This window comes from Homo sapiens, chromosome 2 (assembly GCF_000001405.40).
Source record: "Homo sapiens chromosome 2, GRCh38.p14 Primary Assembly".
In the NCBI taxonomy this organism is placed as follows: domain Eukaryota; kingdom Metazoa; phylum Chordata; class Mammalia; order Primates; family Hominidae; genus Homo; species Homo sapiens.
Genome location: NC_000002.12, coordinates 12,040,739 through 12,058,554, shown reverse-complemented (window position 1 = coordinate 12,058,554; position 17,816 = coordinate 12,040,739). Strand labels below are relative to the sequence as shown.

Sequence of the window (17,816 nt, the reverse complement as noted above, 5' to 3'; positions counted from 1 at the left end):
AAAGAAACTATCTGTGAGATTTAGTTCAACTCTCTTGAATTTTGGAAGCTAAGTATGATGGTGAGGATGATGACAGAGCTTTGAATTGCATGCACCTTCTGTGTAGCAAGTACTGAGCCGGCCTTTGACACGTATCATTTCATATAAATCTCAGAACTGCCTTGAAATTAAGCATTATTAGCCTCCTTCTTCAGAGGAAACTGCAGCTCAGGGAATGTGTGCTGTATCTAACGTCACATAGCTAATAAGGGTCTTAGTATAGCTCGAAACTGAATTGCGTCTCTAAAGCTCATGTCTTTTCAATCCCTAAGCATCCATCTGACATGGATGAAGATTATGATCAGTCACTCAATCAACAAAGTGCTTTTAGAACATGTGATGAGCACAGGGAAAGAGCAATATATTGAGGCATTCCCAAGAAAGTGTACAAAGGTCCTGGATGAGTATCCTAGGATCCTGGACTCAAGCTCCCAGCAGAGTCAACCCTCCACCAACAAGCCCTGTGGCCTTGGACAAATCTCCTACCCTGGCTGGGTCTCACTTTCCTTGTGTGTTTCATCTGTGATGACAATAGCCTCCTCACAATCACACAGAGTTGGTGTGAACATTGGATGAACCAGTGTGTAAGAAAGCGTTTTGTAAAGTGTCAAATGCTGTAGAAATCTGAAGTGCGAACTTGTTTTTTCCGACAAGTTTTAAGGTAAACAGGGACTGGAAAAATTACCAGAGGTTTTCTCGAGCAGGAAGTGGAGTGAGAAGAGGCAGAAGGAGCCCCGGGTTGTCAAGGGCCCCCCTCTCTTCAGCGAGGCGACCATGCACACAAAGGAAGCTGAGTCACCCCTGCTCGGCAGGACCCCAAGGCCATCAATTGAGTCTGCCTGTGAGAAAGCGGAAACCCAAATCCTGCTGTCCCCACGGCCCCTCCTGCTGCCGGCCCCCTGTGGTTGGCCAAGTCACCCTCAGGGCCCTGTGGTTCCCTTCTGTGGCTCAGCTGACAGAAACAGCTGGCGTGGTCCATGCTTCACCAGCCTGCATGCCTCTCAGGGTGGGTGGTAAGAAGTCAGAGGGGCCACTGCAAACCCAGAGACTCCAAAGTGACTCCTCTGTGGCTCTCCCCCTTGAATGAATTCTGCCTGCAAGGACATGCACCTGTCAAGCCACTGCTTTGGTTTATTTCGAGGTCACATGCAGTAGGAGACCTTCATGGCACCATTTATGATGAGGGTCTCATAGGAGGTAGAAGGGACTAACTCGAGGGGGTTCTGGAAGGTCCATCTTCCAATTACCTTGAAGCATGATAAATCCCCCACAGCTTTGAAAGCCAGAGGCCCTCTGTGGAGAACAGGAACATCTCAGAGCCCCCACACACTCAGCAGACAGTTCAGACCCAGAGACATAGGCAGTGTCGGCAGAGACCGGTGTTCCTTCAGCCAGCTGTCTCAGTCTGGTCACCCCTGTCTTTTGGCCTGAGAAGCCAGAAGACAAAAGTTAAAGGGAGGTGGGTAGCCATTTAAAAGGATAATTTATTCAGGTATCAAGAGGAATATGAATCAAAACCTTCCTAGAGCTGTCCCCCAGGCCAGGGCAGATGGAACACGAAGCCTGTGGAGTCACCTACACCAGGGGCCAAGCTCCTGCCTCACCACTTCTTAGCCAGTGCCCTGGTACAAGGCAATATAAACTCACTGGACTGCCATTCTTTCTCCTATTCCAAGGAGATGGTATCTACCCCACCCTAGTTCAGCCCCCACATGGGGCTGTTGTGAGGATCAAAAATGATGTATCTAATGGAAATGTATCTATTAGGTTCTCAACCTAAGGAAACCATATTATTATATGTACTGCTATAGGGAGGCCACAGCATCAGTGTGAAGTCAGGCTTGATCTGAACTGATCCAGCATTATCAAGAGGTGATCTGGTATGAATGCTTGAAGTCAGAGAGCAGCTGCCTCAGACTTTCAGGTACAGAATGGACCATGGAAGGCAGGAACAGACTCTAACCCTCTGAGTGGGTATCAGAGTCCTATTTAACAAACTGGAGCTGCAGGCAGGGCTCCAGAATTAATTGTAAAGCAATGCTCCGGCAGGATTTGAGGCAGAACCTCTGCATCACATCCTCAGAAGGTGGGGCTCAGCCTCTAGTTAAAGTCTCTCTTCCCAGACCCTTCCCTGCTCAGGTGAGGACCTCAAGAAGCCCCCACCTCATGTCCATTGCAGTCCCCTGCAATTCTAACCTTCTTGCTAATCCCATAATCCATCCCTAGCCTGCTGTTATGGGTTGAATGATATCCCCCCAAAATAAGATACGTTCAAGTCCAAACCCCCCAGTACCTTAGAAATTGACGTTATTCGGAAACAGGGTCTTTGCAGATTTAACCAAGATAAAGTCAATTAGGGTGGGCCCTAATCCAAGTGACTGGTGTCCTTACATGAAAAAGGGAAATATGGACACAGACACAGACATGCAGAGGGAAAGTGATGGGGAGAGACACAGGAAGAAGACGGCCCCGTGAAGACAGAAGGCTATGTGTGATGCATTGGAAGACAGAAGGCCATGTGTGATGCATTGGCATGCCAAGGAGCACCAAAGATTGCAGCAAACCACCAAAAACTAAAAGGAGGCAAGGGAGGAGTCTCCCCAGAGTCTCAGCGGGAGCATGGCACTGCTGGCACCTTGATTTTGGATGTCCAGCCTCCAGAAATGAGAGATGGACTTAGATTGTTCTCAGCCGACCAGTTTGTGCCTAGGAAACTAGTACACCTAGGAGTGTGGATTACTTTGGTTCAGCAAATACTCCTTGAGTTCAGTGTAGTGGGTAACACAGAGAGATAGACAATTACAATCCTTCATGAGAACTGTGATGGTGAATACACATTCAGAAGGGAACACAACTAACCACAGGGGGCAAGGGCTGGAGGAAGCCCTCTTAGAGGAGATAATGGCTGAGCGAAATCATTCTCATATGGGAAAATGCAAGTAATTTGAGTTCTATAAATTTATAATCATTATATTCAAGGCCAAAAGAATCCTTTCAACAATTACAAAGAAAGGATGTGTGGCTCAGCCAATGAAAAGTGTGAATAGAATTCAAGAAAAAGAAGCTAAAACCATAAAACAAATTAAGAAAAAAATTCAAAAACTCTGGTCCCTGTTGAATTCAGATGACTTATCTGCTTGTTAAAGCAAGAACAGTCACTGCAGCTGTGGGTTCAAAATTATCAGGGCTATCCCTTTAAAATAGCCTATAATTCCTTCCTTTTTCCTGACTCCAACTGGCATTTCACCAATGCTGGGGTTTGGCTTGGTTGTTTGTGTTTAGGCTTTTGAGAAGCTTTTTCTCACCCTCTGCATTATCAACTCTCACTTAGACGACCCTCCCTTGTAATCCCCAAGCCCCATTCTTTTCCTTTACATTAGGCCCACCCAAGTGCACTGTGTCAGTTACATGTCAAGCACACGCCATGGGAGCTCTTGCTGCAGGGATTGCTCTTTCCCATCACTGTATCCCTGAAGCCCAGCCCAGGACCTGGCATGGAGTAGTGTTCAATGCATGCCTGTAGAGGGGATTTTCAAAGGGCAACCATCCCAGAATGGCCCGGGTCACTGTTTCTCACTGGAATCCATAACTCCTTGGGATTTTGAGGCCGTGAATTCAGATTTGAGAAGCACACATCTAGCTAGTAATGGGTAAGTGTCTGTGGCAGGATTGCATGATTTTACATATTTGTTTAGTTTAATTCAATTAGCAATGTTTGAGCGTCTACTTTGCACCTGGAGTTGTGCTGGAAAAAAAAAATATGGATGGAAAGAAATTTTTGTCGGCCTCAGTTATTGGTGTCTATACCTTATTAGTTCACAGAAGAGCTAGTGTTTTTTTTAAAGTCTTACTGGTAAGCTAATTCCATCTCCTTTCATGTTAAACAAAGAGAAAGTGAAGCCAAGAGAGGTGAACTAGAGGGAGTAGAGCGCTGTGCTTATGAGCTCCAGGTTGGGAACCAGACCAACATCCAGCTCTTAGTAGACAGATCTTGGAAATTTTCTTACTCTCCCTGAGCCTCATTTACTTTATCTGCAGAAGGGAAATAACCACCAACTCAGAGCATTTATGACAATTGAATGAGACAATGCATGAAAGCCCTGAGTTCAGAACCTGGCACATAGTAAGAGTTCAACAAAGCTTAGCTCTGAATATTATGATCCAAGCCACACAGCTATTTAGTGGCAGAACTGGGAAAATGAGCCAAGTTTTTTGACTCAACATATATCATTTGACTTTATAATGATATATGTTTATAAAGCTTTGCTTTATAAAATAACAACAATAACTTTATTATATTTTAAGGATGTGCTGTGATACATATAGGTACAAATATAAATAATATTACTTAACTATGAAAATTCCTTGATAATGTTTGGCTGTGTCCCCACCCAAATCTCAAATTGTAGCTCTCATAATTCCCGTGTGTCATGGGAGGGACCAAGTGGGAGGTAATTGAATCATGAGGGTGGGTCTTTCCCATGCTGTTCTCGTGATAGTGAACAAGTCTCATGAGATCTGATGGTTTTATAACGGGGAGTTACCCTGCACATGTTCTTTCTCTTGCCTGCCACCATGTAAGACATGACTTTGCTCCTCCTTTGCCTTCTGCTATGATTGTGAGGCTTCCCCAGCCATGTGGAACTGTGAGTCAATTAAACCTCTTTTCTTTATCAATTACCCGGTCTTGGGTATGTCTTTATTAGCCGCATGAGAACAGACTAACACAATCCCATAAAGGAGATATTATACTTCCTTTTCAGATAAGAAAACTGAGGCTCAGAAACTTAAAAATTGGCTAAGAGCACATAACTAGTGAGGGATGGAATCAGGACTCACACCTCGGTTCTTGGTCTCCCCATCTCTCCATAGACAACCTGCAAGACATCCCTGCTCTTGTCTGTGACCTTATGTCAACCTGCATATGACTTTAGTGTAGAGTGTTTAATGTACAGCCCCAAACGTTTTATGTTCTGGACTTTTTAATATTATCAGCCTAAATTCACAAGTTTGTTCCAACAAAAGGTTTTATCTGGTTGTAAGTCTCTTTCTCAATGATTATTTATTCTTCCATCTTAATGAGCAGATGGACATTTGAAATATACTATAACTGCACAGTTCCCCAAGAGGTTCTTGAAAATCTTCCTTACCTAAGGAATACAAAAGAATCAGTCAATCATTTATTCTAAAAGTATTTTTGGAGCACCTGGTGGACTCAGGAGTGAACAAAATAGACAAAAATTACTGCCCTCCTAGGGCTTATCACCTAGTAAGGGAGATGGACATCAAACTAACTAATCAGATAAATAAACAAAGACATGAACACATAAGTAGATGCAAAGTATACTCTAGAGAAATAATGCAGGAGGATAGGGAATGTCAGAGTCGGGAAGGAGTCCCTCATCAGTGCCTCATCAATGATTTGCATTGGCTGCCTTTTCTGTCTCAACATTGGTTGGTGTTGCAGGATACTTTCCCAATCACTATGCTGTTTACTCATTCAGCATATTCAATACATACTTCCTCAACACACACCATGTGTCAGACACTGCTACCTTCCCTTGACAGCTGTCTTCTTCTACCAAGAGTCACTCTCCTCTCCCTCCAAGTGTGTTGTCAATCCATCACCCTCCTTTTTAGGCTGATAAAATAAAAAGGTAAAAAAGATCCATTTTATTTTTTTTTTAAACAGAGTCTCGCTGTATCGCCAGGCTGAAGTGCAGTGGCACAATCCCGGCTCACTGCAACCTCCACCTTCTGGGTTCAAGTGATTCTCCTGCCTCAGCCTCCCAAGTAGCTGAGATTACAGGCACATGCCACCATAACCAGCTAATTTTTGTATTTTTAGTAGAGACAGGGTTTCCCCATGTTGGCCAGGATGGTCTCGACCTCTTGACCTTGTGATCCTCCTGCCTCGACCTCCCAAAGTGCTGGGATTACAGGAGTGAGCCACCGCACCCAGCAGGTAAAAGAAATCTTATTTCCATTACACATTGATTCAGGAAATATTTAATGAGTTCCTAATAACCCTAAATAGCATGTGTACTGCATTTCTTATCAAATATATTTCCACAACCATAATCTCCTATAGTGTCCAATAGTGTCATAATGAAGATACAGTAGGAACCATTTCATTCATTTTATTTCTATTGTACCTCCTTTGGAATAGGATTTGAGGAAGTTTACAAAAAATTATAACCAGTAGGATTATTATAACCATTTTATAGATGAAGAAACATAGTTTGAGAAAGTGTATAGGACTTGCCTGACATCACACAGCAACCAATAAAACTGGAATCACAACTCAAGTCTTCTAACTCCAAACCCACACTTCCCTCTGCCCCACACAATTGCCATGTTTGGTCCCTCGTCAGGTCCTCTGGGTGCAATGATGAAGCAGAAGTAGCTCTGTTCTCATGAAGCATAATTTCAGTAAAGACCATAAGCCAAGACTGAAAACAGCTGTAATAGGAGATGGTGATGTTTGGAGAGTGATGCATGGAAGTTTGGAGGGGCATGAGTTTTATGCAATGTTGGCTGTCTGAGTCATAAAAGAAAAGCTTGGTGGAGGAGGTGGTAGGACATGGACTATTTAAAGGCAAGAAAAAGTATGTCAGGTTGAAGGAGTATTAATTGGCCAACATGTTAGAAATCACCGGCCAAAAATATCACAGTATCCCCTCCTCTCTCTCTTATTCACATAAAGTTTGGCTTTCCCAAACTACTATAAACCAGAAGTTTCTCAGGGAATGTTATGGTTCTCTTTCACATCTGGATTACAAAAGCTTCCAGGTACACTAAAGGAAACGGGAAGAAACAACCACTTATTGAGAACTTACTATATACCGGAAATTGCTGCATCATTTAATCCTCACAGCAGCTCTGCTAGGTGACTATAACCCCCATATTATAAGTGAAGAAAGTGAAGCACAAAGACTTAGTTGATGTGTCCAAAGTCAAACAACTAACAAGCAGAGAAATTGATTTGAACTCAGGACTGTTGGAAGTCAAAGCCAGGTCTCTCTGTGACTCTAAACTTTGAACCATATTACACAGCCAAGGATCAAGAAGTGCCTGTTCTATGAGTGTGAAGTTGTGAGCAAATAAATTCAGCACCTGGTGAAGAATCAGCAAGTCAAGTTGATCTAACTTAGATTTATGAAACTAAATCACAAAGAAAATGTTACAAATAAAGATAAATATATAATTTAATGTATCCAAATATAAATTCTTTTTTGAGACAGAGTCTCACTCTGTTGCCCAGGCTGGAGGGCAGTGGTGCAGTCTCAGCTCACTGCAACCTCCACCTTCCCAGTTCAAGTGATTCTCCTGCCTCAGCCTCCTTAGTGCTAGTGTTACAGGTGTACACCACCATGCCCTGCTAATTTTGATATTTTTAGTAGAGATGCGGTTTTGCCATGTTGGCCAGGCTGGTCTTGAACTCCTGACCTCAAGTGATCCGCCCACCTTGGCCTCCCAAAGTGCTGGGATTACAGGCATGAGCCACCAAGCCCAGCGAAGTATAAATTATTTATGCAAGATTTTTTCACATGGTAGAAATGTTTCTCTAATCACCATATTTTTTTCTACATTCCATAAGAAAGCTTGCTAAGATATGGTGGGTTCTTGTTTAAGTTTGTGTCTATCACATCCCACAAAAGCAATTATGATCGCCCATTGATTCATGAATGTGAATGTGGACATCATTAAATATTTACACAAACACGTTGATTACTTACTTTTATAAGCCTATGGGAAGTACCAGTCTGTTCTTTAGCACGATGTTGGAAAAAATAAGTTTCTTTGCAAATACAGTAATCAGCCCACATTCACTACTCATTAGACTAACTCTTGAAATAATCTTCAGTTTGTTTGCAAAGATGATTCACATCTGCACCAGCACAGCTGTGGTGGAACCAGAGTGAGTGTGTGTAGAAGGAAGTTCGCTTTGGGCTACGAATCCAGAGTAGCTTTCAGCATTTACAGGAACAGGAGCGACCCCACGGTAACAATAGTAATAGCAGCAACTGCAGCAAAATTCATTTCCAGGAGACCAACTCTGCCTCTGTCAATGCTGAGGTAAAGAGTAAATGGTGCTGTCACTGGAGGTGTTTGGTAGCAAAAGATACTAAGCAAGTTGCCTTCTCTCCTTTTATCCCCACCTTTATCTCTGGATTCTGACGGTAAAAGGGTTTTAAAACTATCGAATTCCCAGAGGATAATTAGTATGACTGGATTCAATGCTGACAGATAAACAGAGCATTTAATTTGTATTTCGAAATATCAAAGTAGCATAAACTGTTGTTGTTTGTTTACTGATGTCAATCTGAAGGTTCTACAATTTGCAAAACATCCCTTTGAGTAAGCAGACAGAAAAAAAAAAAGGAGAGATGAAATTTAGAATCAAGAGTGAATTAAAATCAGTTGCAAGATTTTTTTTTTTTTTTTTGAGAGGCAGAGTCTTGCTCTGTCACCCAGGCTGCAGTGCAGTGGTGCAATCTCGGGTCACTGCAACTTCCACCTCCTGGGTTCAAGCAATTCTCCTGCCTCAGCCTCCCTAGTAGCTGAGACTACAGGCATGTGTCACCACGCCCAGCTAATTTTTGTATTTTTTTAATAGAGACAGGGTTTCACTATATGTTGGCCAGGCTGATCTCGAACTCCTGACTCCACATGATCGCCCACCTCAGCCTCCCAAAGTACTAGGATTATAGGTGTGAGCCTCCATGCCCTGCCAAGATGTTTTATTAACCCATGAACTTCATGGATTTATTTTTGTCCCAGCACTACAGAAAAGGTATTTGCAACTTAAGTGTAACTCTCATCCCATCTCTTTCCACTCCTCTAAATTAGTTTGAGAGAAAAAAATTCTAAGGACAATCTTATGTCAAATGCAAACTTTATCTAGAAACCACTTTATTCAGAAACACAAATTGAAACAATTATACTCTTCTTCTACAGTTGATGTTTGTTGGTTGATTGCTGTAGTCGATGTAAGAGGTGTGTGTGTGTGTGTGCATGGGTGTAAAAAAGGAGAGTGCAGGATGGGAGAAATAAGGGTTCACTTCAAGCAGGAAAAGATGAATTTAAGTTAGGAAGTCAACTCCCTTTGAAACTGAATGACAGGGACCATTGCTACCAAATAGACACTACAAATAAAAGGTGAAAGCTGGCCGGGCACGGTTTCTCAGGCCTGTAATCCCAGCATTTTGGGAGGCTGAGGCAGGTGGATCACAAGGTCAGGAGATCGAGACCATCCTGGTCAACATGGTGAAACCCCATCTCTACTAAAAATACAAAAATTAGCCAGGTGTGGTGGCGTGTGCCTGTAGTCCCAGCTACTCGGGAGTCTGAGGCAGAAGAATCACTTGAGCCTGAGAGGCGGAGGTTGCAGTGAGCCGAGATCACACCACTGCACTCAGCCTGGCCACAGAGCGAGACTCTGTCTCAAAAAAAAAAAAAAAAAAAAGGTGAAAGCCATTAGAAATTCTTTCCTGATACAGTCTCTAAGAGTAGGTTAAGGCCATAACAGAAGAAAACTAACATTCCTTGAGTACCTGCTGGTGCCAAGTAACATGCTAACAACCATCTGTCCCAGATCAAGATCCCTGGAATCAGACTTTGAGGCAGAGAGTCACACTACAGAGCAATGCTTCTTGAAGGTACACCTCAAAGGAAATGAAGAAGCAGGTCTGGGAAGAGGGGGAAACCAAGCAACAATGCAGCTGCCACTGAGTCCTCGCTGAGCCCTCACTGGCCCTCTAGGGGGCTCTGGAGCCACGACTGCCCTTCTCCAGATCCCAGCTTGAGGCACAGAGCCTACAGCTTTGTATCTCTGCATCAGTTGGCCATGACAGGAGCTACCCTCTAAAGGGGATGAAACCTTGATTAAGGCCATTCCCTCCCTACAGCCAAGGGCAACTCCTAGTGAGGCGGGCTGTGAACCAGCGGCAGTGGTTGGTATTTTCAGCAGCTAGGCACTTGGCATGTTGGCCTTGGAGAAGGGATTCAGGCTGAACAGCACAATCTTTCCTAATCCACCCCTTGTGGCATTCAGGTCCACCTGCTTCCTCTGGTAAGTTTGCCCCTTCAGGGAACAGCTTCTCCAGGGTACTGATTTGTCTTGTTCCCTGGAAAAACCTAAATGAGGGGATTTATGGTACAAAATACAATCCCCACAGCTCCCATTTGTCTCCTGGCTGTAAATGATACTCACCACCCCTCTTTTCCAGGGTATCACTCAGGGCTTTCCAAAGAAACAAAACTGGAGAGAGACAGAGACAGAGAGAGAGAGAGAGAGAGAATAGATAGAAACATGATAGATAAATGATGATAGCAAATAGGTAAATAGATGGATGGATAGATAATAGATAATAGGTGAATGGATAGATTAGATAGATGATAGATAGATACACTTACATACATACATAGATATGTGGATGGATAGATGGATGGAGATATACATACAGATTGAGAGTTTATTTTAAAGAATTGGCTGGTGTAATTACTGAGACAAACAAGTCCAAAATCTGCAGGTGGCCAGCAGGCTAGAGACACAGGAAACAGCTGATGATCAAGTCTGAGTCCAAAGCTCTCTGCTGACAGCATTCTGTCTTCCTTGGGGGACATCAGTCTTTTTCCTCCTAAGGCCTTCAACTGATTGGATGAGGCCACCCCACATTAGGAAGGATCATCTGCTTCTTTTAGATCAGTCTACTGATTTAGATATTGATATCAACTAAAAACACCTTCACAGCAACATCTAGACTAGTATTTGACCAAATATCTGGGTACCATGGCCTACCAAGTTGACAGATAAAGTAAACTATCACATCCAGCATCTGTTTTAATTTTCCCTTATCTTGACCTGCACCTCTGCAGGTGACCTATGGGTGACCCAGACCTTTATCCCTGAAGATTCTAAGCCCTTGGCTACCAGTTACCTGTGGCTTTCCTCTGGTCTGTGACTACAAACTGCAGAACCAGCAGCAAAACCTAAACAGGGGCAAGAGAGTTTAAGGATGGCTCCATGCAAACGTCACCCACTGCTGGGAAGCTCCTTGAAGTGGTGTCTAATTGATGGAAAGTCAGTAGTATCCCTCCTGCCCATTAAAATGTACTGGACTCACATTAGTAGGCATTCCCCAAGCACCTGCACTGCACCCAGGCATCCTGCACTATGTGCTGAGACTTCGGAGTTAAATAACACACCATTTTCACCTTGAATAAGCACATAGACCAGGGAGTAGAAAGAATGGCAAATAAATTAATGAGTTACGTCCAGGCGTGGTGGCTCATGCCTGTAATCCCAGCACTTTGGGAGGCTGAGACGGGCAGATCACAAGGTCAGGAGATCGAGACTGTCCTGGCTAACATGGTGAAACCCCATCAGTACTAAAAATAAAACAAATTAGCTGGGCATGGTGGCGGGCACCTGTAGTCCCAGCTACTCGGGGGAGGCTGAGGCAGGAGAATGGCATGAACCCAGGAGGTGGAGCTTGCAGTGAGCCAAGATCGTGTCACTGCACTCCAGCCTGGGCGACAGAATGAGACTCCATCTCAAAACAAAACAAAAAAATTGTGATTTACAATGTTGCAGAAACTGCCTAATCTGTGTGGGATGCAAAGAACATGTAAAGGGGAGAGCAACCCATGCTCCCTGGGGCAAGAAGAAAGGAATGCCAATTTCCCAACAGAAAGGAGGTGGTTGTTACTGTAAGAGGAAAGGAATGCTAAAAATCCAAAATCAACAGATGTCCACAGCACTAATAATAAAGTACCAACTTTTTAAATGTTACTTTTTTCATAAATTAGAGCACATTAAAGGTTATCCCCATCATAATGTCACTCTCACTCGCATAGCAATACGTGCTCCAAAACGGGAAAGGAGGGAATGGAATTAGAGTGAACAGCTGGGGACAGGGCTGGGAAAAGCATCCAACAGATGTTCACTGAGCCATAGGTCCTGGGCACTGCACTAGGCACCTGGGAGGAAACAGAACAAGACCCCTGCCCTGTGTCACCTCAAAACTGAGAGTGAAAACGACCAAACCAGGGCAGGTAGCCCCAGCTACCAAGACTTCAAACCATTCAGAAATGGGATCTGCAAAAATAGGACCTTCTGACTCCATTCTGGAAAAACTGCTATTTGATTTTGCTTTCATCTTTGCCAGCTTCCAGATCAGGAAAAGACATTTTGCTCAACAAAACTGCTATCTGAGTCTGTCAGTCTATTGCTTCCCCCACCTACAAGAAGGACCCATTTCAAACCCTCACCAGGGCTGTTGGGATTTTCAGATTCTGCTCAGGGACTGTGGGGATTTGTTTCACGATCTTGTTGAAAAAAAAAAAAATTAAATAAATAAATTGGTGGCGTTGCAACTGCTGTTGTTTTGAAATGTTTCGGTTTTATTTTGAGGCTTGTATTTTATGAGTATCTGTTTCTACATTTGGAGCTCATGCAATATGCATGGTTTCTTTATGAGATGTGATATGCATTTGTGGAGACTGCATTGCCTGCCAGACTGTGTTGAGAAAATACATTTCAGTTACACCTGACCGGAAAACCATCTGCCCGTGCCGCACGGACACATGGCCGATACTGGGATAGCATGGGAAGCCCCAGCGACTGCTCAAGGTTCTCTCAGTTAGAAGACATCCCAGAAGAGAAGTGGTAGATTATGACTGTTGAAGAATACTTATTATTTGAAATAAATACAAATTTTTAGTCTACAGCCAGACCACCCTGAATGTGCCCCATCTCGTCTGAAATAAATATAAATTTTTAATGACTTTTTCACGGAAAAGTGACAAGTAATTAAAGGTTTTTGAGGGATAGCAAATGGTAACCAATTCCTAACTAGGATTCGTCCTCTCAAAGCTGTGTGAGGGGTAAACACAGGAGCAAAACTTGAGTACCCAGCTGAAAATGACTAAAAAGTGGTGAAAATTATCACTATTCTTGGTTCTCACTTCACGTTATTATTGCCTAGCACAGGGCCTGGCACATACTGGGTACTCAATAAATGGCAGCTACATTTTGCTATTTTTAATACTATATTTGAACCTTCAGCACTTGGCTCAGGACCCGGGACACAGTAGGCACTCAGCAAATGTCTATCAAGTGCATGAATGAATAGCAGTCAGAGCTGGCATTTGGCCGCAAACTCCTTGGCAGATTATGATACTAATATTTTTTCTCTTAACTCAGCTGCAAAGATCCAGATTATGGGCCACTAGGAGCCTCTCCCTGGAGAAGACAGCTCCACCAAACCTGAAGATTCCAAAGCCCTGGCTGAAATCGTAGCTGTAGACGCCGTATGTAGAGCTGGCATTGAATTCACTCCCTGCCAAGTCCTGAGCAAGCTTAGCAGTAGGCTTAAGGCTGCTTCTCAAATTGTATGAGATGCTGATTGAAGATCTCAATTGAAAATACGCTTTGTACATGCAAAGCACACCCACAGTGGCTTTAATCACGGTCCAAAGGAAAGGGAACTTGTTTTGTTTTGTTGCACTGAGGGTATGCCCACATCCTCTGCAGGCCAGTAGCGGCAACGCCTAGCCAGGAGCAGCAGAAACCCTCTGGGGTGTTCATCCTTCCACGCATGCAAATGACAAGTGAAAATAGATTCCTCTTGTCTCCTTGAAATACTGCTTTTTTGTCTCCCCTGTTTCCTCTTCATCTCTCTCTCCCTTTTGGAGCCCTTAGTTGTTGTGATCTCCTAGATGCTAGAACTCATCATGACCCTCTATCATCTCCTAGATGTTCTTTGCTCCTCCTAAATAGAGGGTCATGATGGTAAAAAATGGCAACTATCATTTCATGGGCACCAAGAAGGGCTAAGTGATTTCTTTATATTGATCCCAATCCACACAAGGTAGACTTTATGATTCTCCCTGTAGATGAAGAAACTGAGTCTAGAGAGGCTAGTAAATAGTGGAACTCAAATTTGAAACCAAATTCATCTGGCTCCCAAGACCAAGCTTCCCTAAGCATTACTTCCAATATGGGGAGATGGAAGCCCAGACAGCCTATATTTTACCATAAAGGACTAGACACATCTCCAGTTTTAGAGCACTTGGAGAAGTTCTTAAGCAATGGCAGTGTTTGGTGTTTCTTCCTCTTTCATTTTTTCCACACAAAAATCCATTTATCTGATCCTGTCAAATGAATATTTTGACCAGCCACCCTTCCAAGTCCTCAGCTTTTTCACATGCTGTCTCCTGGAATTCCTTTTCCCATCTCTGGAATAGGGCAAATAACTCAAGCAGAAGAGCAAAGAACATTGGATCAAACCCACACTTCCACATGTATAAGCTTTATGAACTTGGAAAAATTATATCACTTCCATGATCCTCAGTCTCCCTTTCCATTAACCAGGAACTAAGTGATTCTACCGCCTCCCAGAGTTTCCATGTGAATTACATGACTCCCACCCTGTGAGCTTTAGGCTGTCCTGTAAGTTTAGGTCTGGCCAATTCCTTAGACGACCGTGGAGAAGGCAACTTAGTTTCACTGACTAAGAGACGGAGTTTTAGCATTGATCTGTTCCTTCACACCACAGACCACACCTGTTTCTCCAAATACTTTTCCATGTGCCTTGGTCTTTTCAGTGAAGTTTACTCCAAAACCTGAAGCTCATCCCTGGCAAGGTCTACACAGCCTTGAGCTTCTCAAAGGCACCAAACTCCTGGAAGCCCAAGCTTTTTATGCACCTGTATTACAACATCCATTCTGCCTACTAGTATCTGCCCTCATACCCTAGGTCCATTGAGGGCTAATAGAGCCTGAATCAGGCTAAACTCTACCACATCCCTCAGACACTGCAATTTGGACTATTGACCCTGCACCTTAGGGACAGGGTAAAGCCTGCATTATTCTCCTAGCACCACTCCTGTCCTCAGAGCAGAACTTTGAGGTGAGAAAAACCTGAGCTTAAATTCTGACCCTGTGTTCTCCTCTAGCTATGGGATCTTGGTAAATTCTTCATTATTGCTGGTTTTATGGTTTTGGTGATTGGCTTTGTACATATGCAAACCAATTGGCACATATTAAATACTCCTATATTTGTTTTCCATCAAGATGCATCATCTTTCCCATAAAAGCATTGTGCAAGGTCCAGTATCATTTCTTTCTTTTCTTGTTTTCTTTGTATAGAGACAGCATCTCTCCCTCTCTTGCCCAGGCTGGGGGGAAGTGGCGCAATCATAACCCACTGTAGCCTTGAACTCCTAGCCTCAAGCAATCCTTCCACCAAGTGCTGGGATTGCAGGAGTGAGCCACCACTCCCAACCTGGTCCAGCATTCTTTGTAGTTGAATTTATCCAAATTAAGACAGTTTAGATGAGAAACATTCTTTGAAAATGTCGGACATATAATAAGAGCTCAATAAACATCAGTTGTTGCTGCTGTATTATTCTATCATTATTGTTATCATCATCATCATCATTACCTACTACGTGTGGAGCCTCTTATATGTGCTAAAACCTGTACTGTGCACTTGATAAACACTATTTCTAATCACTGTAACCCTGCAAGGTAGAAATCATTATCCCTTTTCCTACAGACAAGGAACTTGAGGCTCAAGAGAGAAAGTGGTGGACTCTAAGCCACATAGCTAGTTAAGTGGCCACGTCAAGATTCTCTAATTGGATCTAACCAATTTGTAATCACCCGTTAAGAATTGAGTGAAAGAGAAACATTAAAAAAAAGGGGGGGGGATTCCTGTTGTCCCATGAGAGTGCTTTGAGGAACAAGGTTAAGTACATCCAACTAGGACCCAACTCAGAACCGAGAATGGGGCTGTTTGGAAGAGAGAGGATGCATGCAGGGGAGCTGGGGAACACTTGTGGGCTTGAGCTGGACTTGAAGATGTGTGGGGAACAAAGGAGAATTTCCAGGAGCCTGGGCAAGAGGAGACGGGGATGGGGTGAGAATGCTGGGGAGCAGCCACCGATACTCACTGAGCGTCTACTGTGTTCCTGCCCAGAGTGGACAGCATGCATGTGAGCTCACTCAATCCCGACAGAACTACCAGGTGGTTCTCTTTTAGCTCCACTTTACAGAGGAAGTAGCATAGTCATACAAGTAATATGTATGAAAGCAAAGGTGGAAATGGAGAGGGCATATCCAGGAAATGATTTTACTTCAGCACATCTCTAGGAAGTCCCTTTACTAAGGACTCATGAAGGAGAAATTACCAGGTCACTTTTGCCCTAAGTGCAGCATACCGTTTCCGGATTTCATTTTGTTCTCAATATTTGTCTGCTCAGCCTGGGTGGTGGGCTTCACATGTAGAACAAAGTTGTCCATTCTTTCTCAATTCAATAGTGTGGATCTCATGATTTCATTCATTCCCTCAACCAACCAACCAATCTTCATGGGCCTTCTCTTACTGTGTGGCTCCCCTCATAGAGGCTGGGGCATAAAGATCAGTCACTCCAGAGACGCTGCCTTCAAAGCTGCTCTGCCGTGGCTCCTGAACTCACACTAAATGTTGTGCTGTCACCAAATGAACATAATGATGAGTGCATTGAATGTTAATTACAGCATGGAGTAAACTCAGCTATACCATGTTTCATTGTCTACTTTTCTTGATTGTCCAATCTGTAACCCACTGACCAGCCATAAATACTTACAATTATTTTCTTTCATCATGCTCAAAACCACTAATTAGAGTAATTACTGCAAAGTATAGTTAACATGAATCAAGCTGGCATGAATCAAATCATACCCTATTCCCCATTTTGGTTTTCCTTGAGGTTCCTCAGTCTTGTCTTAGTTTCCCAGGCCAAGATCCACCCAATGTGCTGAAACGTTTCAATTACCTGGCTAGGCCACACTATCCTATCCACTGTGACTTTAGGCAGGGTAAAAACTGATAATAAATGAATATTTCCATAGATTCATATTTGGCTGGTCAGATCTCTGATAATTTCCAACTCCCTTGTAACCAACTACACTCTCTCGTCTCATGTAGCTTAATTTTATGGCCCGGATTCCAGGCCTGAAGGCTTGAGTGTCTGTTGCTTTGTCATGATAGTCCCATTAGCATGAAGATTTATTTTTAGAGACATCGCCCCTGGCACACAAAGAAAAATGGTGTACAGTAGTAAAAAGAGCTCAGCCCTTAAGACGCACATGCGGTGCAGGGCCCCTGGCACTCATTCACTGTGGAGCATGGGGGAGTCACTTCAACCTGCTGAGCCTGGGATTCCCCAGCAGTACAGGTGAATGCTGACACCTGTCTCAGAAGATGGGTGGGGTGTGGATGCGAGGGTGCCTTATAAACTGTTAAGCGCTCTCCAGTTGGAATTATTTTTACTCTGTAAAGCTCTGGCCATGTTGTGAATAGGGCAAGAAGTAGTAGAGTCCATAAGGAAAGAAATGCATTTCATGGAAGATGCTCTGCTTTGAAGTTCATAGGTGTTTCAATGGTGGTGGTGATGGTGGTGGTGTTTCATTTTTGATGGGTTTATTGTTTCAGAAAATCCACCTGCATCCTCAATCATCCTTACTTATGCACTAAAATGAGTCTACAGAGAGCAGGCTGGCAGGTCCCCTTCCTTGCCCTCAGGTGGTAACACCTGCCTGATCCGCACATGACACTCCAGACACATCTGTTCCCACTGCTCCCCCACACCCCACTAACATGGTCATAGCCAAGGGCTGCTGCCACTCGGAAGCCAATTTACAAGGAAGCCCGTGAGGCTTAGGCTCCAGGACCCCTCACTTGGGCAGAACCTTTCCAAAGCTCCAAACCCCATTTTGTATTCAC

At 43.6% G+C, this 17,816-nt stretch overlaps 1 long non-coding RNA gene across 3 annotated transcripts in view, besides 1 other annotated feature; it reads right to left on the bottom strand.

The window, feature by feature from the left end:
- Positions 1-17,816, bottom strand: part of MIR3681HG (MIR3681 host gene) — a 571,233-nt gene that overhangs the window by 519,794 nt on the left and 33,623 nt on the right. The window lies entirely within an intron of this gene.
- Positions 12,047-12,156: an enhancer, noted in NCBI's record as "active region_15336". NCBI's record gives its function as "activates an Ori minimal core promoter by ATAC-STARR-seq in GM12878 lymphoblastoid cells {active_cell/tissue: GM12878}" and the evidence as "EXISTENCE:reporter gene assay evidence [ECO:0000049][PMID:35858748]".